We start from the raw sequence: 24,991 nt of genomic DNA, 5'->3' as shown, positions 1-24,991 counted from the left end.
ATGCTTGCACAATAAAAAACATCACCTAATGACACATTTCTCAGAATATATTTTCATTGTTAAGTGACCTCTGACTGTATTTCTGTGAGATGTCTCCAGAAGAGATTAGCATTCAATTCGGTAGATCCAGTAAAGAAGATCCACCCTCACCAATGTAGGCAGACATCATCCAATCCCTCAGGGCTCTGATAGGACAAAAACACAGAGAAAGGGCAAATTTGCTCTTTTCTGGAGCTGGACACCCATCTTCTTCTGCCCTTGGACGTTAGAACTTCAGGTTCTCTGGCCTTTGGATTCTGAAAATTGCACCACCCAACTCCTTTCATCTTTGACTTCTTGGTCTTAAATCAGGAGTTCCCCAGGCTCTCAGGCTTTGCGTCTTGTACTGAGAGTCACACCATCTGCTCCTGTAGTTCTCAAGCTTTTGGAATCAGACTGAATCACACTATGGGCTTTCCTGGTTCTCCAGCTTGCAGATGGCATATTGTGGAACTTCTCTACCTCCATAATCACGTGAATCAATTCCCATAATACATCTTCTCTTCTATATGTATATTTATATATTCGATTGGTTCTGTTTCTCTGGAGGGCCCTAAAACATCTGTTCTGGAGTGACGGAAATCATGGCATTGGTTTCTTTAGCTGTAAGGGTTATTGGCTGACAAGGAGGTTAAGGAAATTTCAATTCTTCATTTTGATTTGTGTGGCAGTTATATGGGTTTATATTTGTTAAAACACATCAAAATGTGCTTTTTATATCTGTGCATTTACTTTTGTAAAATTTACTTCATTAAAAAGAATCCCTACAAGCCTTGGTGTAGTGGCTCATGCCTGTAATCCCAATACTTTGGGAGGCCAAGGTGAGAGGGTCGCTTGAGCCCAGGAGTTTGAGACCAGCCTGGGCAACAAAGTGAGAACTTGTCTTCCAAATAAATAAATAAAATAGATAGGTGTGGGGTGTGGTCCCAGATACATGAGAGGCTGAGGCAGGAGGATCGCTGCAGCCCAGGGGGGTGAGGCTGCAGTGAGCCAAGACAGCACTTCTGAAATCTAGCCTGGGTGACAGAGCGAGAAAAAAAAAAATTACTACAGATTTTGCACCTTAACATTAAAAGGATAATAAGGAAATATTATAAATAATTTTATGCTCATTAATTCAATAACCTAGAAGAATTACACTAATTCCTTGAAAACTACAAACTGACAAAATTCAACTAAGATAAAACAGATAATCTCAATAGCCATACAGGCATTGAAGAAATTGAACATATAATTTGATAGCTCCTGAAAACATATCTCCAGAACAAAATGGTTCCAATGGAGAATTCTACTAAACATTTAGAGAAGGATTAATGTCAAGTCTACGTAGTCTCCTTCAGAACACAGAAGGGGAGGGAATATAATACTTCCCAACTCATGTTATGAGACCAGTATTAACCTGATACCAAATGAGGCAAAGAAAATACAAAAATAAAACAAAAGACACCATAGAGACCAATATCCCTCATAAATATCACCACAAAAATCCTTGACAAAATATTAACAAACAGATTCAGAAATATCTAAAAAGAATTACACACCATGACTGAGTAGACTTTATACTAAGAGTGCAAGGCTGGCCTAACATTTGCAAATCTATTGATGTAATCCTCCATATCAACAAAATCCAGATCTCTAGAACTTTTAGGTAATCTATGAAGCAGTAAAAATTAGTCTGTCCTCAGATTTTACTTTTCCAATAATAAGTGTTGATAAAATCTCCTGTATTTAAATGGTAAATAAAAGATGGCATATTCCTAATCTGAATTGTCTACGGAAGATGCATTCTCATTCACATGTGCATGCACATACACACATCTACCCTGGCACATAGATAATTGAAAAAAAGATACATCTTTTAAAAAATGGTAATACTTTTGGATAGTAGAATTATATGTGTGTTAAATTTTCAATATTTAAAATATATTTTCTACGATGGAGCTGAATACGTATTTAGGTCCAGGAAAAAATAACTAATCTGAAGGGAGATACATGTATTGGTATTTATCCAAGTAATTTCATTCATCTCTTTTCGGATTTTGAAAATTATATCAAATATCAATATAAGCAATTCTACATAACAAGAAACACTATTATCACAGATAATTCCCCTCAAATTTATGACTCTAAAAAAAATTCTAAAGGACAATGTAGGAGACAGTCAACTATTACAGCTTTAATACAGCTTTAACGCCTGACCACCAAGCTAGACTTAACCAGATTGTAAAATGAATTAACATTGACATATTGAAAAAAATGATAGAATTTCACGACAGTGAACTATTGTGGTCAAATCATAAGGGATTAGCCTTTTAAAATGTATCTTAAAAAAACACCAACTTTCCATTATCACATATTAGGTGTCTTCCATAGATAAATGTTATTATGAAAATACAAATGAAAAGTACATCTGTGGCCATTTTTATCCTAATAGCTCAGCATTAATATAATGTCCAGGAATCGGATGTAATTACCGTGAAAGCCCCATGGCTTAGCTCTGCCACTGATTTCTTAAACAATCAATCTGAGAAGCTGAAATAGGGAGTCTGGGGGCATTTTTACCAAGCAGAAAATTACATTTTCATTAAAAATAACACATCAATTTATATTTTAAGTGGACAATAATGGATAAAGGATGCATTTGATGTCATAGCTTAGAATACCAGATGTCTCTTTTTCCAGGTTAATGTGTTATGTATTTTCAAACACTTTAAACTCCCTCCATACAAAAATTATAGATATGACTTTATTCTTTGAGTGAAGGAAAGTGTAGAGACTGAAAGAAAAATAACTCTGAGAGTCTTTCTTTTGTGGATCCTACAGGAAACATGTACACTCACACCCATACTCATACCTGTAGGGTTTGGGTGTTAGCAGTATCTCCCTTTGTCCACAATAGAGAAAGAGCTAGAAGAGTTGGGAAAATAAAGTGAAAAGGGTCACTCACTTGAGAGAAAGAATTGGGGTTGTCACATACTTCCCTTACCTTCTCTTTCTTCTTTTAACTCATTTCTTCTACTCCACGGACCCTACACATAGTCTAATTAATAACAATGGCATTAACATAGGTTAAAGCTCTTCTGGGTTCCCTGCTCTACCACAGGGGTGTAAAACCTAGAAACTACATTCCACAGACTCCCTTGCCAGCAGAATTCTAGTTAGTGAGATAGCACCAATAATAAGAAGTACTTGCATGAGACTTGTAAGAAAGAAGAAAAGCGAAAGCCATTACTCTTCAGCTTTAGACAGATCCTAAGTGTTGGTAAATCGTAGAGATGAGGTTTCCCTTGTGGCATTTTGATGAAGTCTTATGTATCAGCTACTCTGATGCTGCAGGTATCTGAGAACTTTGGTAGTGGTTGTCTACAATTCTTTCATATCCAGATTTCCCAAAAGAGGCCTTTCTGTCCTTCATTACTTTAATCTTTCTATGGTTGTGTAAGCCTTCGAATCCCATGTAATAATTTTCTTTCTACTCAACATACCTAGAGACTTTGTTTTCCTGACCAAAACTCTAACAAACTCTTCCATGGAGAAGTTATTGATAACCTCAAATAATTTCTGGTTTGAGGGACGAATGAGTTTATTCATTTCACCTGTTTTTAAAAATGTTCTTTTCACTTAGGGAGCTAAATGGAATGAACAAATGAAACAACAGCTCGCCCTGAAAAAAATCATACCTTCAGCACTGTTTAGCATCATGGACTATCAAAGCCCCCATTATCACAGTTTGAATATGTAAATTATTAAATCAATCATTGCAAACAGGAATACGACATGGTGAAGTGGCAAGTTGATAGGTGAACCATACAAAAATCAACAGTAACTTATCTGTTTGATCCATAAAACAGCAATTTTATATGGTTTGGCCTAAAAATTATATAAAATTGGAAATTATTTTCAGTAGAAATGTATTAATACTGCCAATCTCCAAAAGAGGTTACATTCTCATTTTAAACAACAAAAAAAATTAGCTGGGAAAATACGTGCCTTTTTCACGTGAAAAGCCATGTCAATGAAATACATAACTCCACCCTCACGCACATATCACCTGTGATTGCAGAAGCATTTCTCCTTCTCTGGCCTCCTCTAGCTCTTGATGATCTTGGATCCCTTACCTGCCTGCATGCTCAGTCTTGAACTCGGTTCTAGAACAGCCCAGGCTTGATGTAAGATGTGCTCCTGTTACTTTCGTCACACCCAAGCACTCCTCTGCACTGATCCCACTCAGTACCTTACATTCTGAGCCAGTGACCAGTGTCCCACTGTGTCCTTACCTATCCCCCTCCAATAATCTGGAATACTGTTACATGTTGAGGTCCTGCCACTTGTGTGCAGACCCAGAATCTGTGTGATCAGGCTTCTGGTTATTGACACCCTGGGTCCCCTGTCACTTTGCTCTGTCAAGACACCTTTTCCTTGATTTTGGATCCCGTGGTGTTGATGGTTGTCCCATGGTGTTATCCCAAATTATTTGAGGTTGTCCCATGATGTTGACTAAGTATTACTCCAGCATTGTGCCCAGTGCCTACCAAACTTCATAAATATTCAATGAAGAATAAATTTTAAAAATCAAAGGTTGTTCAGAGCAGGCCTTAGTGGGAACCTAGCTAGAAACCTTGAAATAGCTAGAAAATTTACCTAGCGATTAAGGTCATGAAGATTTTGGTTGAGATTACTTTTTCCACAAAAAATTTTAGACTTTGGCAGACCATCTGGAGAAGGTAGGTGTGGTTTTCATCCACATGTTGACACTGGCTTATCACACCCTAGCCCACCTTGCAGCTTGCAGACAAGAGGAAAGAAATGGAAGGGAACCACCTTCCTTTATCAGACAACTAGACCTGGATCACATTTGCCCACTGCCCATTGTCAGATGACCACTCTCATCTTCTAGGGAGTGTCATGCAGCAATGCCATGTGCTGGGGACTTTGAAGAAATTAGAAGGAGGCAGGGATGCATTAGAAGGCATTGTAAAAGCTAAAGAAGCAAATTATGATGGTAGTTCTCAATCTTTAAAGTGATAGTTCTTAGTCTCTTAAAAATTATTGATGACTTTAAAGACCTCTGGTCATGGAGACCATATCTATTAATCGTTACCATATTAGAAACACAAAGTGAGAAAATTTTAAAACACAAGAATACAAAAACACATATTCTATTAATCGTCAGAGTGATAAGATGTTACCACATGTTATATAGCTTCTGGAAAACTCGCTGAATATTTGGGAGAGAATAAGAGTACAATGAGCAAATAATATTTTAATATTATTATGAAAATGGTTTTGACATCAAGGATGCTCTGAAAAGGTCTTGGGGACACCCAGGTATCTCTGGATTAGAAGTTGAGAGAACCACTGGCTTAAACTAAGGTCCTGTCATTGGATATGGCAAAAAGAAATACATTGAGAGACTTTAAGGGATTAGAAATAACAGGATTTGATGACATCTTTCAATAAGACATAATTTACAAACACAAGCTTCTTTCAACATTAGTTAGGTTGTCATTGTTTTGAAGCTAACATTTAAGGTGCACTATACTAAGTGCTTAATACATGATTTCATTTAAACCTTACTGAAACCTTATGACATGATGCTGTTAAGGTTTTCCACAGCCAATATGCATGATGAACTTCATGCAACTGGTATAGCAAGAGATGTAAAATTGTCTGCCTAGCAACAACCAGAGTGCTTCTAAGACATGTAAAGTTTTAAATAAAAGCTTCCAGCCCATGCCTTAGAAATGACCCTGTGCCTCCAGGGAAATCTTCTTTAAAATAAGTTTCTGATCTCTGTTGCTACAGAGACCTGACTTCACTATTTCTCTTGGTTCTGGTTCTGACACTGTTCCTGCTCTAGTTATTCAATATTGCTTACTGCTCAACTCCTGTTCCATCTGTTTCTTCTGACTCTATCTTTAACCTGGATTCCATTCTTATTACTCAGCTAAACTTAGTTTCTCAACACCTGTTCCAACTTTCCTCCCGTTGTTACCTCTCTCTTCTGGTATGTGAACTGATTTTCTTATATTCCAATTGGCAATCTGGTCCAACTACCCTCAGATATTCTGAAAATTTCTCTAGGCATTATTTGCAAGGTGACACCACAGTCATCCTCTGCTCATGGTCAGCCCAGAGTTAATCCTTTGGTTTTGGCATTAGCCCTTCTGGGTCTGATATCGGAAGTGGAATCCTGCAGGAAGAGAAAGTGGGGCAAGGCCGAGGGCATAAATGTGTGTTTCGAATGAGAAAAAACAAATTGCTTATTCGGACCTCTAGCAACTGCCAATAAAGTATTTGAGGTTTTTGTTTGCTTGTTTTATTTCTTTCTTTCCACCATGATACAATACCTATAGCGATATGTTATAATTATGAAGTGTATTATGAAGATTAGATGGTGCTGAATGTTTAAAGTGATAGGGTAAGGTGAAAAAACCTTCCCGAAGCAGTGTCCTTACACAGCAATTTAAGGAAACTAGTCATTTCATTAAGATTGCCACAGGGAAGAGGTTAGAGTACAGAGTACTGCATTTGTTTTGGCAATAGAAAATATGCAGGGGTCTTTAAAATACAGTAACCAAAATATAATTATCACAATTTTAAAAAATGAACAATAATTCAAGAACTAAATATCAAGTTACTGTTTGCACTTCTCTGATTATTATCTTATAAATGATTCATTTTCTGGTTTACATTTTGTTTGAATCAAGAGCTAGGTCTATACATTGCAATTGTTTAATATATTTCTTAAGTCTCTTTAAGTCTATAGATTCTACCTGTGTTTTTTTTCCCTCCTCTTACACTTATTTGTTGAAGAAACCAAGTCGTTTTCTCATAGAATTTCTCACAGTCTAGATTTTGCTGATTGCATCTTGTAGTGTTCCTTGTATTTCCTGTATATTAACTGTTGGACCTAAATGCATTATCATGGCCAAGAAACATATGAAAAACAGCTCATCATCACTGATCATTAGAGAAATGCAAATCAAAACCACAATGAGATACCATTTCACGCCAGTCAGAAAGGCAATTATTAAAAAGTTAGGAAACAATAGATGTTGGCAAGGCTGTGGAGAAATAGAAATGATTTTACACTGTTGGTGGGAGTAAATTAGTTCAACCATTGTGGAAGACAGTGTGGCAATTCTTCAAGGATCTAGAATCAGAAATACCATTCGACTGAGCAATCCCATTACTGGGTATATACCCAAAGGATTATAAATCATTCTACCATAAAGACACATGCACACGTATGTTTATTGCAGCACTATTTGCAATAGCAAAGACTTGGAACCAACCCAAATGCCTGTCAATGATAGACTGGATAAAGGAAATATGGCACATATACACCATGGAATACTATGCAGCCATAAAAAAAGAACGAGTTCATGTCCTTCGCAGGGACATGGATAACGCTGGAAGTCATCATTCTCAGCAAGCCAACACAGAAACAGAAAACCAGACACTGCATTTTCTCACTCATAAGTGGGAATTGAACAATGAGAACACACGGACTCAGGGAGGGGAACAACATACACTGGGGCCTGTTGGGAGGTAGGGGGGCAAGCGGAGGGATAGCATTAGGACAAATACCTAAGGCATGCAGGGCTTAAAACCTAGATGACAGGTTGATAGGTGCAGCAAACCACCATGGCACATGTACACCTATGTAACAAACCTGCACATTCTGCACGTGTATCTTGGAACTTAAAGTAAAATAAAAAAAAATGCTTTATCAGACAACTTCAGAGGTGGTGGTGTGTGCCTTCTCAGGAGTTATATAATATCTGATTACAACTCCTTTTATATTCTTAGCTATTGATGGTCATTTTCTAGATCCATTAATTCATTCAGAATTGCAAAATGAAAATATCCTAATTTTAAAAACATTTCATAGTTCATCAGCTGGAGCAATTCCATAAAGGGAAGTTTCCCTTATGATGTAATTTCTTGTCTTGAGGAATAGCTAATTACAGAGAGGCAGGATAAATCCTAGATTCCCTTACTCCCTTCGGCCAATGAGAGCCTATTCATGTTGCCATCTGAACCCTTTTTACTAGACTTTAGTAGTAGTCTTTAACAGCTTTTTTGCTTTCTTATGTGAAAATAATTTCCAGGCTTATCTTGGAATTTTCCTACCTTAGATCTGTAGGCATCCATTTCTCAAAGGATTTCTGGCTCCATTTAGAAATAGTTCATATTGGTGACCACAATGTGAACACTGGGGATGCTCAGAGCTACTGAATCAGTCATTGTTTCTAGGCTTTTTAGAAACAGACAGGAAATATGTTTTTCGTTTGTTTCTTTTTAATATAAAGACATTCTGAACTCATACCGCTACTTTTAATTCAAATTCAGTGCTATTGGATATTTATCCAACCTGTTAATTCTACGTCTTTATCTTCGTTCCTCTTTTTAAGACATGTTTCTAGGTTTTTTTCCCTTACTGGAGAATTGCATTCTTATGCCATTCTAAATAGTTTTGTATGGTTACGCCATCAAGTGATATACATTTAGATTTACATATTTCTTTTTGCTCTTGAATTTCAAGAACTGCTTTTTAAATTAATTTTTATCATTATTTAAAATATTTACATGTTTTCAAAGTAAAATTGACAAACAAATATGTTAAAAGAAGTCAAACTTGTATTTCTGCTCTTCACACTTTTATTTCTTCATTTCCACCGGTCCTCTCCACCTTTTTCTCCCTATCCTCCAAATGACCATATAACTTTGGTCTACATTGAGACATTTTCAAAAGTGAAAAGGGGTTCTATTAATAATTGCACTTTGAAGAGAAGAATAAACTGGAACTTTTCCAGGCAAATCTGGCATATATGTCATTCTGTCTTGAAAATATTATTTACAAATTTAGTCTTTTTCCTTAAAATATATAGGCTAATACATATACATTAGACAAAACCACATCAAATTTTAGATATTTCACTGCCTTTTAACCTAAAAAAACAGCAATTTCATGCATTCAACATAAATATTCATGTCTCTTCTAGAAAAATGGTGGCACATTCTACTAACTTTCCCCCACTTTACTTTTTCATTTAAATATATGCTAGAGATATTCCATAGTGGTAGATAAAGAGAGTCTCCATTTCTTTTACAGCTGCAGAGTCTATCTTGCATAGTTGGATCATTGTTTATTCAGCCAGTGGCTGTTAATGGAATTAGTTTTGTTTTTGCATTTTTGGTTTTAAAAGTAGTAATGCAATCAATAGCCTTGTACATAATGTCTTTTCATGTTTTTGCCAATGTCAGTTTTGGGATAGATTCCTAGAAAAGGAATTGCTGAGTCAAATGACAATGTGTATGTGATTTTTCAAGAGGGGGCCAAATTCTTCTCCATGGGAGTTGTACTTTTTGCCTTCCCACTAGCAATGTGTGAGAGGCTTACCCATAGCCTTTTGGTATTTATCAGTTTGATATTTGCCATGAATTTTCATTTTCCTGTGACATTGCACATGCTATGTTCTTTTATAGAATACCTTCAATTTTTTTTATACATAACAAACTTCCGCTCATGTGGGCTGCCAAGATTTCTTTGGCGTGCTCCCCATCAAGCATGACCTGACTAAGGATACGTACATCAGATTTGTATTGATATGCAATATAGTTGGGCACAAATCCCTTTCTGGAGCTTTGTGGAATAATTTGTACTGGAGTCCCCACTCCCTGTTCTCTCCTGCCAGATCATTCTTTAAGACTGTGATCAAATGTTGCTGCTTCTATGAAGCGTTTTCTAACTCTCTTCTATTTCTACAGCATTTACAGGTACTTCTGTTGTGAGGATAATCACACTGTGATTGCTAGTGCTCAGCCAAGTCTTTAGCACAAATAAAGATACATTTCTGAAAGAGTACTGCAGACAAGGTAGTATTAACTGATGGAAGACTTTGACATTTACAGTGAAGAGTTTTTGATCTAGAGAGCAATGGAGAGCCACTGGAATTTTTTTCTTTTATATGTTTCTGTATATATGTTGTTGTCAGATTGAAAGGACAAATTACACTTGAGGTTGTATTTATATTTATGGCTGAATAAATAATATTTGTCATTTTTCTTATTTCTATTTTTTCCACCCACTGTTATACTATTGCTTTTATTATATTAATTTCCAAAGTACATTACAGAGCATATGATCTTTCAAGGTTTTGTTCCACATGTGTTATGCATAGTAACTGCTCATTTCTATTAAAAATACTCATAAATTGAATCACATTACAAATAAGTGCCATATACTTAACTGAGCAATATACACACATACACATTCCTGATAGGTGATACAAAGGCAAGAAATTCTGAGAAATTTTAAGATTGTGATCTGTATCATTTGGATGGTATAGCAGGAGTGGCAGAGGGAGGAACGTTTCCTAAGTTCTTCACTTACTGGCTCCTGCACTTAGGTAGGATCATGTCACTAGTGCTGGCCAATGAGCAGAAGTATGGTGTGCCATTTCTGGAGTAAGGGAAACGTATGTGCAATTTCTAATTTATTTTTTCTCTTCCATTGATACTGAGGAGGCACCACGACCCACTGCACATTTGCAAGGCAGTAAGAGCTCTGTTCGTCCGTTTGCATCTCTGAGTGACTATGTGGAACAAAATCCCCTCCTGATGTGCCTGGGATATGGAACAAGTGTAAAAATAAACTTTTATCATATTAAGTCACTGGAATTTTTATGGTCATTTGTCACTGAATACAAACTAATACACTTGGTTTATGGAGAAAAGAACTAAGCTATCAAATTTAAATATTTGGAAGATTAGTGAACACACTTCTATTATTTTTAAATTTAAGTCAATGGTGATAACGTAATAGAACTTAAAATACCTTTGAAATGTTTATTTTGAATAATGGAAGTCAAGTGAATGCTTGGGACAGAAGTGAATAAGCAGTGATAGACAAGACTGCGGTCAATGATGATCCACGTAACACTGGTCTGTCTGCTTGTTTATTTATCATTTCCTGTGTGACTAACACTGTTGGACTCTGGGGTTGCAAATATAAGCAAAGTAGACAATATCCCTGCCCTAAAGAAGATTTTAGCCCAGAGAAAGACAGCTAATTAAAAAGTGAATAAATTAGATAAATAATCACAGATTTTTGAAAAGTGTTATGAAAGAAATCGGGGGCAGAGGTGTTGTAAAAGAAAATAATGGAGGTGATTCAGGGGGCTGAGGACCATAGTTAAATGAAGTGGTCAGGAAGAAAACCTTTCTAAGGAGGTAATATTTAAACAGAGGCATGGAGGGCGAAAAGAATCCTGGAATTCAAACAGTGTTCACAGCAGAGAAAGAGCATATAGTCCCTGAGGTGGGAGATGAAGGATGGCTGGTACATTTTTAGCAAAGGAGAGATGACAGGAAATTATATTTTCAAGGTGGGTAGAAGCCAGGCTTTGTAAATCAGAGTAAGAAGTTTAGATCTGATTTTAAATATGACATCAAGAGTTTTCTATTTTATTCTAAGTGAAGTTGGGATGTGACATGATCTAAATATGGTTTAAAAAAATGCTTTGCTCTGTGAAGAAAGTATAGGAGGACACCATGGGTGGACACTGGGAGAGCAGTTAATTGGCTCCAGGTGATGACTTGGACAGGGGAGGCCAGGGTGGGTATGGAGTGGAGTGGATGGATTTAGAATATATTTTGAGGATAAAGCCATCAGAACTTGCTGATGGATTGGATGCAGAGAATGAGGAGAAGGGAAAAACCAAGGATAATTCCTACCTTTCTGGCACAGATAGCTGAGTGAATAGTGATGACAATAATTGAAATGGGGATGAGGAGGAGGAGCAAGTTGGAAGATAAATCAAAAGCTTCCCTTTGGGTCAGGCATGGTGGCTCATGCCTGTAATCCTAGCATTTCAGGAGGCCAAGGCAGGAGAATTGTTTGAGCCCAGGAGTTGGAGACAAGCCTGGATAACATAGTGAGACTTGGTTTATACTTTAAAAAGAAACAAAATAGCCAGATGTGGTGATGTGTGCCTGTAGTCCTAGCTATTTGGGAGGCTGAGGTAGGAAGATGGCTGGAGCCTAGAAGTTTGAGGTTGCAGGGAGCTATGATTGCACCACTGCACTCCAGCCTAAGTGACAGAGATAGACCCTGGCTCTTAAAAATAAAATAAAATAAAGCTCTTTGAATGTGTGAAGTTCGAGACACCTTTGAGACAACTAATGTCAACTGGAGAGCTGACTACAGGAGTTTAATTCAGAGAAAAGATTTGAACTGGAGATACAAACTTGGAAACTATCTCCATGTAGGTAGTATGTAAACAGACACTACCTACATGAGAACAGATGAAGTGGTCTACGGAGAAAGTGAAGGTAGAGAGTAGAAGAGTGGACAAAGAATCTCATTTGTGTTATGAAGGTTCCTATTACATAAAGTAGAATATTTCAGAAGACATCTGAATCCACATATTAAGTAATAATTTATGATAAAGTTGGATTGTATTAACAAAATATTACTACTGGCAAAGGAACAAGCAAAAATGTGAGAAGAAAATGTATATTTTAAATAACACTCATTGATGGAAAAATAGAAAGCTCTAAAAAGTTGGAAGCTTTTTTGCTTTGCTTTAATAAGACTAACTAGCTAATGTTTTATATTTTCAAGCGAGTTAGTGTGAGGAAGGCTGGCATCATTGCTTTTTGGACGTTTGTTTGAAATCTATAATGCTGCAGAATCCATTACATCGCACACATAAAAATGACTAAGATGGAGAAAAAAAATTTCAGTGTATCTTGATATACCTTAAATATTAAGGTGTGCTTGAGACAGGAGCCCAGTGATGAAAAATTTATAGTACTAGAAGTATAATTCTATTATCATGATAGTTTATGACTATCTGTATAGTCAGATTAAAGGTAACTTTAGAACAATGGATAGGTTTTTCAAATGCAGAATCAAGGTTGCAATTTTGTAGCATATAAGCTCTCAAATCTCTAGGGGGAAATGTAGAAAAATAAAAACTTACTGAAGTAAGGCAATGTGCATCCTACATTATTATGGCAACAAATCGATAATGGTATTACAATAAAATCTGGTGTAATCACATTTTCCTTCTTCGTATTGCAGTATTAATCTCTGTCTGATGGGAGATGAGATGAATCACAAGATGTATAATGGAATGCAGAATATTTTGCTTGTTACAGTCAAAGCAGTGGGACCAGTAATTACTGAAAGTTTTTTTTTAATTACTTCACAAATGCTTGTTGCCCTTTTCGGCCTTTTCAACAGCTTAAGTAGCCACACCTCAGAGCTATTAATATTATGCATTTTAATTTTTTTTTCTTTATCCCTTCCTTGTACCCAACTACTAGCAAAAAGGCTTGGAGCATCCGGGAATGGCCTTGATACTGAAGTCAGCAGGCAAAATCTACTACTGCCTGAGCACCAGGCCAAGGGGCCAAAAATGGTCTGGAGATTACCCTCTTGTTACCTCAGTAAAAGTGTGGCCGAAGAGAAGGACACACACTAGTTTCCCTAGTCTGAGTTTTTCTGCAATCAGGAAAGTATCCATTAATTTACAAAGAAACAAAAGGCTTAAAGCTTTGTCAAAAATCAAATGCAGGCCATGTGCAGTGGCTCATGCCTGTAATCCCAGCACTTTGGGAGGCTGAGGTGGGTGGATAGCTTGAGGTTAGGGGTTCAAATCCAGCCTGGCCAACATGGCAAAACCCCATCTCTACTAAAAATACAAAAAATTAGCCAGGCGTGGTGGTGGGCATCTGTAGTCCCAGCTACTCAGAAGGCTGAGGCAGGAAATTGCTTGGGAACCTGGGAGGTGGAGGTTGCAGTGAGCCAAGATCGTGCCACCGCACTCCAGCTTAGATGACAGAACGAGACTCTGGAAAAAAAAATTAAATGAAGCTAAAGTTTTATTATCATACCTTTCCACTTCCTTGAAAAAATTCAGTAGCTCTTGTATGATTTTAAATTTATCATTTTCTATACAATCTATAGCATGGCTTGCCTATTTTCTCTTATTTTTTTATTGCAATTTGTGGCTGTAAATATGCAAAGATATTTATGAACAAACATTCTACCAGAAACAAATATAAGAGAAACATATATTTTCACTATATACATACTTATTTTTATTAAGGGCATATAATGACCCTTTGTTTGAAAACATATTACTAAAATGTGGTTTCATAATCATATAGGTAGACTCTTTATATTGTAACCAGCACAAATATTCACTAAGGAGAAACATGCAAAATATTTTTCAAATACATATTTCAGTTGAGAACTGGACCTTGAGAACTAGAGATGCCCTGATAAGCATTCAAGATATAGCCAATCCTACCAACTGTTTTGTGATTCTAGAAGAGAGTAGGGAATATCTGGACTATCTGGAATGTCTACAATATCTGGAGAGAATCCAAATTGCCAAATGATATCAAATAATCATATGAATAATGTCTTATTTCTGGAAGCAGTCAAATGAGACCCATGTGAGCAGTTAGGACAATATCCACTTTAAGCCTTCTGCAAACAATTTCTGTAATCTTTCCTAAACCTGCTTTTACAGCACTCATTAGTATTCTTTGGCTGTCTGGCACTTGATGCCTCTGTGATAGATATTAAATATCTTAAGGGAGGCAGGCCCCACTAGTATGTCACAAGCTGATGCTGTGGCTCATGCAAGCCAAAGCTCCATGGAGAAGCCGATGGCAAAACCTCAGAAGAGTGACAGGTCACAGCTGTTAGCCCTAGGATAGATGCTGGGTGAATCAAGGCCTAGTGTAAGTCTTTTTGTTCCCAATCAAACATGTGGGCTACACAATCCTTAAGGTAACCAAGCTGGATTCTCAACATGGTATTCCTAACTCTAAATGGGAGTCTCAGATTAGGAATGCCTTGCACATTTTAGATGCTTAGGTTATATAATATTGATGTAAGTATGTTGGGTAACTGCAGACAATGCTTGCATGAAGGAATATTATGCATCTGTCTCCTCAGCAAATGTATTGTTATTTGGTTATTGTGCCTCTACCATGCCACAATGTCTCATTCCCAAATTACCAAACATTCAATTGCTCTCCTGGGTCTTTTGGTTTCAAAACTTTGTGGAAGAGAACTATAACTCCTTGCTTAAATCCTTGTCATCAGATGTAAAAGCTAGAATAAACTGCATTTTATAACCCTAGGAAAGCTTTGGAAACTCTCAGCATATTAATAAGGAAGCTTTATTTCTGTCCTATTGGGGAAAAAATTAGTAGTTTATCTGAAGATATAAAGTCAAGATCCCTAACAATTTTTCTTTTCTTTCCTGAAGCAGGTCCCCAAATTTTTAACTTTTAATTTACTTTTCATTTAGTATAGGATATTCTCAGTGAGATGTACCATTGTATGCGTGTCTTTGATATCTAGAAAACTCTACATGAGCTATTTACATGTAAAAAGTTAATATTCAAGATGTTTTGATAGTGGTAAAGCATCAAAGCAATTGTACTGGTTGAGATGCAACTTGTCACTTGGAATAAATCAAACCTTTTAAAGTATATTAATAGAAAATGACTGTACACTAAAAAAATTAATTGGATGGTGATAATTTTTATATATTATATATAATAAATTGCATGTTATGTAAAGAAATTTTTTTAAAGATGGTAAGGCAAACTTTAATCTTGTGGGGGCCATAGTGATAGGTAAAGGGATCACTGGAATGGGGTCTTGCGGTGGAGGAGGGAGATTGGACTCAACTCCCTGTGTAAAGCAATTGTGAAGCTTTAGCTTACAAACGAGGTTGTTTTCCTTGTGAATGGGTTAGAATGACCAGTTTTATCAATACATATGTTACAATCAACTGTAAGTGTCATAAGTCATTAATTACTGATGGTAGACAAAGTACAAAAATTTGTAGAAGACTGTCTTTAGAATACATTAGAGTTGATTCAAAGTTATCTTCATATTAACATCTCTCTCACTTGTCCTGGAATATGCTTCCTAGACTGTGAGAGAGGGGAATTAAAGGAACTGGACAACAGAGCATGACACACACATGAGCTCCATTCCCATTTGCAGCACAAGGTATGATATTGTAGTATAATCAGAAATGTGTATTTGGTCTTCATCCTCAGTTTCTGACAGAGAGCTCCCCAAACCCTTGCAGCTTCTTCAGTGATAGGAGTATCTTTTGTCGTAATATTTGGTTTTAGCTCTCGGTTCCTGACACAAGAGTTTATAAGACTCTTGGAATCTCCAGAATGATGAGTATTTTTTTTGAGTATTTTTTGATGAGTATTTTAGGTAAAAAGTTGTGAAAACTACTGGGTTTAAACAAAATGAGAAATAGTGTAATATAACCAGGATAATAATATAATTTATCAAACAAACTGGGATACTTCTGAGAATAAAGGTGTATCTGTTTTTAATTATACCTGGTCATAAATATGGTTGAATACTTGAGTTATGAAGTTAAAAAAAACAAGGTTCAAATCTCAATTATTTCATTTATTAGCCATATGACATTGGGAAAGTTACTGTCTTAGTTTGTTTTCTATGGGTAAAATGGGCTTACCAATTGCTACCTTATAAAAGCACTGTGCCTAGGCTGAGGCAGTACAATGGCGTGAACCCCGGGGGGCGGAGCCTGCAGTGAGCCGCGATCGCGCCACTGCACTCCCTCCTGGGCGACAGCAAGACTCCGTCTCAAAAAAAAAAAAAAAAAAAAAAAAAAAAAAAAAAAAAGTACTGTGCCTGTCAGGCTCCAAGCAGGAGACAGAAACCCCGCAGTTATTTGAACAAAGTAAGTTTAATATAAAGAATTATCTTCTATAGGGGACTGGGGGTGACAGAGGATTAGCTGGTAAGCAGTAACGAGGCAGCAGTGGCAGTTAATGAGGAGCAGCCATCTCCTTAGGGCTGAGCTAGACCACCCATGGAAAACCCAGTAGAATTAGCTTGCTGCAAGGTGGCTCAAGAAGATGTCAAGGGGCGCTATCCATAGGGAGATGATTTGTCAGTAACACCTGGCTATGAAGTTATCTGATGGGGTGTTGGGGAAAATTTTTGGCCACCAGGGCTGCTAGCTGCTATGTGTCCTAGGAGGCAGAGCTGGAAAAGATGCCCTCGGGGCAGGTGCCCGACCAGAGGACAACACCAGACCCAGGAGAGAAACACTCCTTCCTCCTTCAGTGTCCCTACAAACAGTGTCTGCTAGCAAAGCTTAACCTTGTGCCACTGTGGAAAGACAAAAATATTTAAATGGTTCAGCTCTAATTTTGCAGAACAAGGAATTAAGAATAGATTTGGAGCTGAGTGGCAATAAATTGATAAATACGACAAGCACATTAAAGTCACAGAAAGTATTGTATTGAACACATGTGAGATGCTAACATTTAACATGTTTAGTGTAGTGCTTAGAATATGGTAAATGGTATATAAATTCATGCATCACATACTGTTATTATATGTTCTATATATGCCTCTCTATTATAGATGAGGCTAGGGCTTGAATTAATGACTCTAAGAGATGTAAGACAATCAATATTCAGAAGAATGAGGCAGTATATATTCTCGGTAGAGCTAAAAAGAAACGAAAACAAGGATACTAACTACTATAGTTAAGGGAGCATTCTGATCTGTGATTATTTTTTTAAAACAGAATTGTAAGCCCCTATCTAAGTACGTTTGCATTGCTATAAAGGAATACCTGAGGCTGGGTAATTTACAAGGAAAAAAGGTTTATTTGGCTTATGGTTCTGCAGGGTGTACAAGAAGCATGGTGCCAGCATCTGTTTCTGATGAGGGCTTCAAGAAGCTTCCACTTATGGTGGAAGGTGAAGGGGAGCAGTCATCCCATGGCAAGAGACGAAGGAAGAGAGAGAGGAGAGGGTGCCAGGCTCTTTTTAAAAATCAGTGCTCAAGGGAACTATTAGAGAGAGAGTACACTCATTACCACAAGGATGGCACCAAGTCTTTCATGAGGGATCCACCCCCATGACCCAAATACCTCCCACCAGGCCCACCTCCAACACTGGAGATTAAATTTCGACATAAGATTTGAAGGGGATAAACACCCAAACTATGTCAGCCCCTGAAATAGCAGCAACACTGTTTTGCTAGAGCTCTAGTATGGAAAATTCCAAGCTTAGAGTTTTTCATGTTCAAAAAAACCAAATTTTTTAATTTATAAAAATATTGTTCCATTGAAGCTTCATCACCTTCCTTTTGTATCGAGCAAGTATGTATTATCTTCTTATTAATCCTCAATGCTCTTGAGAGGCAAGAGTATAGAATTATTCTTTCCATTTTCTATTGTCTTCACTCCTAACAGTTGGTTTAATATCATGTTATTAAAGCCAAGTTCCCTTCCTTTTATTTTTCTTATTCCTAGCTATAGACTAGCTATTTTTGATCCTGAATCATAATATTTTGTTAATTTGGTATATGGCTTTTTATGCTATTTCATTTATGCTTTTCATGTCTGTCATAGTGTGTATCAGCCTCTCAGATCACTGATTTCGTGGTTAAACATTAGGGTTTTATATTTATTCCATTTATCAAACCTCCACCTGTGTTCCTTACCGTTCTCCAAATCCAGTCTTCATTCACTGTAGTAGTTGACTCCCACATAATGTTTATTTAATGTTTCTCCCCAGAATTAGTCTTTTATGTGAAGTTACATGTCTTGACCTCTCATTAAATTAAATTTACAGCCTCCCACGCTTTTTTCTCTCAATGATTTCTTTTAAACTTTACCTGTTTCCTAAAACTTGCTGTGAAGTACTCATAATGACTATTTTAGATCAAGTATATCAATAGCCTATTCTTTTTATTCTAGAAAATATATTTTCTTGGCTATCATACTTATATATTAATAATACAAAATCTAAGAGCCTCCTTCTGTAATTTTCTTGAACCACAAAGATATCTTCAAATCTCTGTCAATAGCTCAATTCGCTTTTATATAAATAGTAATGTGTGTGTTTTAAGCATTTTTATCATATCAATGAAAATATTTTAAAAATGAGATTGAAAGTCTGGAGCTAGTAGTTCAGGGCAAATGAGATGTCAACTAAATTTACCTTTTCCTAAAATATACTGTTTTATTACATTTCTGTATTGTCTGAAATGTTTACTAAATATAGTCTTATGAGGGAAAATAGTGGATTTGAGAAAGAGTTTGCCATTTCATATTTTACTTTGTTATAACTCTTATGTATTGTTGTTTTTTACAATGTTCTGAGGGGAAAGTAATAGCTAATAGTAAATATTAAACCAATTCTAGCTCTGTACACCAGAACCTTGTGGTGCATGATTTAAAACCTTTTCATAATTTCCACAGCCTTTTTTAAAGGTGCTTGGTCTTAACCACTCTTCTGGAATGTAAGGAATCCCCTCTCCTTGAGGGAGCTTTAGACCCAGCCACATTTGTGTACTGATTATCCCAGGATCAATGATCTTGCTTCCATTGCTCTTTGCTTTTGCTGTTCTCTGAAAAATCTTTCCACACCCTTTGGCTACCTCCTCAGTTTCTAATTATACTTATGGTTTAGCTAAAATCTTCTCCTTTCCTTGAAACAGCCTCTGCTCTCCCCAGCAGACCATCTCTTAGATTCTTATATAGCTTATTATTCTTCTTGTTGGTTTTAGGCATTTTATAGATGACAGTTATTGCTTTGTACTCTTATATGCTTAGGTGTCATTTCAAGAGATAATAGATATATACACTTTATGGCCCAAATACAAATGGTAAGTTCATAACATTTATTACGGTTCATGATAGCTCTTCAATAGCTAGTGTTGATTAATTGAAACACGTTTTGTTTTGTTTTTAAATTTGCAAGTAGCACCTGCTACTTACCAGGTACTGCTTAGTTTGAGAAGGAAACTCCAAGTTAAAGAATGTACTCCTTATAGAACTGTCTGTTTAGCAGTGAGGCAGATATGCAAATAAGTATTTGAAATAGCAGAGTCCAGTCTAGGCCCGGTTCTCTTGAGAAAGAGAACTGCAGTTCAGGGAAGACTTGTTAGAAGACCTAACATTTGTGTTAAATCTTAATAAGAGGGGCAGGGAACAAATTTTAGGCAGAGGTAAAAGAGTGTGTGAAGATATTTGCTGCCTCAAAGGCAATACATCAATAGTAGCAGACTGAATCTCTCCTACAATGGTAAGTTAAATAGTTCAGCCTTTATGACAGTGAAACTGAACACCAGAGCACGTTTTGCATGCTTTTGTATAATTGGCATCTCAGTCCGCTTGTGCTACTGTAACAAAATACCTTAGACTGGGAAATTTATAACTAATAGAAGCATATTTCTTACAGGTCTGGAGGCTGAGAAGTCCAAGATCAAGTCACTGGCAGGTTTGGTGTCTGGTGAGGGTTTGTTTTTCATTGATGTCACCATTAAGGTGTCCTCACATGGTAGGAGGGATAGAAGGGCAAAAAGGGATGAATGCTGTGCCCTCACATGGTGGGAGAGAGGAAAAGCAAAAAAGGCCTAAGCTGATTCCCTCAGGTCCTTTAAAAAGACACTGATTCATTCATGACAGTGGAGATTTCGTGATTTAATCATTTCCCCCAAAAGATCCACTACTTAATACTATCATGATGAGAATTAAGTTTCAACATGAATTTTAGAGGGGACACATTCAAACCATAGCATTCCTTCCCTCCTGCCCCCCAAATTTATGTCCTTCTTACATGCAAAATACATTCATTCCATCCCAATAAACCCCAGGATCTTTACTCATTCCAGCACCAACTCAAAAGTCTAAAGTCCAGAGTCTCATCTAAATCAAATATGGGTGGGACTCAAGGTAAAATTTATCCTGAGGCAAATTTCTCTCCAGCTGTGAATGTGTAAGATGAAACAAGTTATGTATTTCCAAAATACAATGGTGGGACAGGCCTACAATAGATTATTCCATTCCAAAAGGGAGTAATAGGAAAGAAGAAATGAGTAACAGGTCCCAAGTAAATCTAAAACCCAACCATGCAAACAACATTCAATCCTAAGGCTTGAGAATAATCTTCTTTGACTCCATGTCCTGCCTTCCAGAAACACTGAAACAGGGGATGGGCCCCCAGGATCTCAGGCAGCTCCACCAACATTGATTTGCTGGGTGTAGCCCCAACTTCAGCTCTCAGCTCTCACACACTGAAGCTCCATGCCTGCAGCTTTCCTGGGCTGGCACTATACACAGGTGGCTCTATAGTTAGGGGGCCTCAAGAACAGCTTGCTCCCACAGCTCCATTAGGTGTTGCTGCATTGGAAAGTCTGCGGCAGCCCCAACACTGCAGCAGTTCCCTGCCCAGATCCTGAGCCTCTCTGAGGCATCCTTTGAAATCTAGGTGGTGGTAGCCATGACTCCACAGCTCATGCAGTCTGCATGCCCGCAGAGGTTGCACCATGTGGACACTGCCGAAGTTTGTAGCTTGTACCTTCTGAAGTGGCAGCCTGAGCCACATCTGCACCTGCTTGAACCATAGCTAGGGTGGCCAAGGAGTGCTGCACTGGAATGCAGGGAGTGGAAACTTGAGGTGGCCCTGGGCAGCAAGCCCAAAGGTTCCACAGGTAGCCTGGATCCCTCCCTGGAAACCATTCTGCCCTAAAAGGCCCTGGCACTCTGGGCCTGTAATAGAAGTGGCAGCTTCAAAGACCTATGAAATGCCTTTGGGGTCATTTTTTCTTTGTCTAGATGCGTATCACTAATCTCCTTTACAAAATTTCCTGGCACACCCTTGGTGTTCTCTCTTGAACACAACTTTGCATTCTGTACAATCTGGCCAGGCTGAGAATTTTCCAAATCTTTATGTTATTCTTCTCTTTTGATATACATTCTGGCTTTAACTCATTTCTCTCCTCCCAAATTTTACTATAAGTAGTTAAGAGAAGCCACGCATCACCATAAACACTTTTCTTAGAGATTTCTTCCTTTAAACATCCTAGTTCATTTCTCTTAAATTCTTCTTGTAAAAAGGAGTAAGACACAGAGACATGTCAACACAGTTCTTTATCAGTTTGTAATGAGGATGGCTTTTCCTCCAGTTTCCGGTAAGATATTCCTCATTTATGTCTAAGAACGCCTCAGAATGGCCTTTACTGTCCGTATTTCTACCAACATTCAGTTCATAGCCACTGAGATATTCTCTAAGACTGACATGTTCTCTACAGATCTCCTCTCCTGAGCCTTCACTAGAATTGCCCTTAATGCTCTGTTCATGGCAATCTAGACTTTTTCTAGCATGCACCACCAAGCCCTTCCAGTCTCTACCGGTTAGCCAGTTTCAAAGCTGCTTGCACATTTTTAGGTATTTGTTATAGCAACACCCCTATTCTCTGGTACTGTTTCTGTCTTAGTCCATTTGTGCTGCTATAACAGAATACCTGAGAGTGGGTAATTTATAAAGTGCAGAAATTTATTTCTCATGGTTCTGAAGGCTGAGAAGTCCAAGATCAAGGTGCTGGTAGGATTGGTGTCTGTTGAGGGCTGCCCTCTGCTTTCTCTTTTTCTCTCTGCTTTCTCGCTTTCTCTCTGCTTTCAAGTTGACACCTTGTTGTTGCATTCTCTGGAGTTGAGGAACACTGTGTCCTTAGGTGGCAGAAGGGACAGAAGACCAACAGGGTGTCCCATTCAACCTAAGCCCTTTCATAAGAACACTAATTCCATGCATGAGACTGGAGTCCTCATAATATAATCACATCCCCCGAAGGCCCTGCCTCTTAATACCACTACAATGGGGATCCACTTTGAACATGAATTTCAGAGGGGACACAAAACCATAGCAATTGGGAAATCCCATGTATTGTGTAAGTACACTCTATGATATTTGCACAATGATGAAATAACCCAAGAATGCACTTCTCAAAATGTATTCCCATTGTTAAGTGACACAACACTGGTTAAGAGTCTTACAGGTACATAGTATTCTTTCGGTGGAAATAAGCTAAAGCAGACTAAGCTAAACTATCTTTCCTCAGACAAATGCAATAAATGTTTCCATTCCAACATTTTGTAAGGATTAAAACTAGAAAGTAAGGAGTATTTTAGTGTCAAAATATTTTCGCGGACATGTTAAGAGCAAATTGATTTTCACAACTCTTAATCTTGAGTAAAATTGAAGTTAAGGTTTTATCTTTTTCTTAATCAACATTAGAACATTTGATACCGTGATATAGGCTCTTAATAAATGCCACGAATGCAAGTGGAAATTTGAGGCACGGTATCCCTAAAGCACTTTCCACATAGGCTCTCCTGCTGCAGTTGTTTGTAAATGAAGCTCTACATGTAAATGCTAGATTAGACTGAATGATGAATTTAAAACAAGTGGGTGCACTCACTGTGGCCCAAATTAAGCCTTGTTCTAAAGTTGCTATAGCAACATTATCTTTACCAAATGTCCTGCTTTAAAAAATAATTGGAAACATTTCCTGTTATTTAGGAAGAAAAATAAAATCACTATTAATTTTTTGCATCCCACTACACAAATGCATTATTCTCATGCAATTAAAAAAATCGGCAAATATCATGAATGAATACATGCATTTTAATATAATTATAACAGCAAAATCAAGAGGAATAAGAATGAAATTAGTTTATAGACATAATATGATGTATCTAAGAGTTAAATAAAATATTTGAATAAACATATTTTTCTTCTTTCTTTCTTGAATAACACTTAAAAGCAGAGAGCCATGAATAGTTCCTTTGGGCTTTGTATGTATAAATTATTTACTTAATAGATCATGAACATATTTCTTTTTGTTTTGTTTTGTTTGTGAGACAGAGTCTCGCTCTGTTGCCAGGCTGGAGTGCAGTGGTGCAATCTCGGCTCACTGCAAACTCTGACTCCCTGGTTCAAGCGATTCTCCTGCCTCAGCCTCCCGAGTAGCTGGGATTACAGGCATGCACCACCACGTCCAGCTAATTTTTGTATTTTTAGTAGAGACAGGGTTGCACCCTGTAGGCCAGGATGGTCTCAATATCCCGACCTCGTGATCTGCCCGCTTCGGCCTCCCAAAGTGCTGGGATTACAGGCACGAGCTACCATGCCCAGCCCATATTTCTTTAATATTCGGAATTGTGGAATAATTGAAGTTTTAGGTTATGGATTGGAGAGTAAATAAATAAATTCAAAGGACCTACATACACATGACATACCAAGAAGCAGAGAAGTCTAAAATATTTTATGAGGGTAGCTAGAGGAACATATATTTGAATTGGACAACAATAACGAAATGATGTACTAAAATTCCAGGCCCAGATGCATTTTTTTTTTCTAAAAAAATGATTTTAATTCAAACTTATCATTCAATTGTTTTCATAAAAAACTATTAGAAAATATTGTAACATTTGAGAAAACAAAGACTCACATAATTTGGAAGAAAAATAACCTCTCTACACAGCATAATATATATTGTTTAGTAACCTGTGAAAATGTACCTTATATAGTTTGATTCAACATTTCAACCCTTTTTTTTTGTACTTTGGAAAGGCATTTTCTCTCAATGGAGTTTTAATTCTAAAGTGCCATTTCATGCTTCATTATCTCTGAGTAAGAGTTTTAGTTTATTGTTGGCCCTCAGCTTCATCTGTGAGTCATGAGTTGTATAGCTAAGGATATTTTCCCAGGCATTTGGGTGAGGTGACTAATACTTCTTTCTATATATCAATTAGGCTTTCCTATTTAACAACACTAGACTTCAAAATGAAAGTGACATGTTCTGGGAAACAAGATGAAAAATATAGAAGCAGTAACATTTTGGAGAATGCTTAAATCGCTTTATTTGCAAAGTGAAAATATTTTGTTTGTACAACCTTTTCTCTGCCACCTCCTTCCTCCACCCAGTTCCATCGCTCTTTCCACTAGGATCAGCCATGCTGAATATTCTGGCATAGCTCAAAGTAAAATAAATAAGAGAGGAGGATGCCCCCAGTTTCTGGGTTTTTGGTTCTAAACAACTTTCAGGCATTAG

The 24,991-nt window shown here is 37.2% G+C and overlaps 1 long non-coding RNA gene across 7 annotated transcripts in view, besides 1 other annotated feature; it reads right to left on the bottom strand.

The window, feature by feature from the left end:
- SCHLAP1 (SWI/SNF complex antagonist associated with prostate cancer 1) overlaps positions 1 to 24,991 on the bottom strand; it is a 224,836-nt gene that overhangs the window by 162,933 nt on the left and 36,912 nt on the right. The window lies entirely within an intron of this gene.
- Positions 10,899 to 11,099: a silencer, noted in NCBI's record as "peak3955 fragment used in MPRA reporter construct". NCBI's record gives its function as "represses an SCP1 promoter by STARR-seq MPRAs in K562 erythroleukemia cells {active_cell/tissue: K562}" and the evidence as "EXISTENCE:reporter gene assay evidence [ECO:0000049][PMID:32103011]".

Source organism: Homo sapiens, chromosome 2 (genome assembly GCF_000001405.40).
Source record: "Homo sapiens chromosome 2, GRCh38.p14 Primary Assembly".
NCBI lineage: Eukaryota > Metazoa > Chordata > Mammalia > Primates > Hominidae > Homo > Homo sapiens.
The sequence above is the reverse complement of the archived record's forward strand: the minus strand, read 5'-3'. Positions and strand labels throughout refer to the sequence as shown.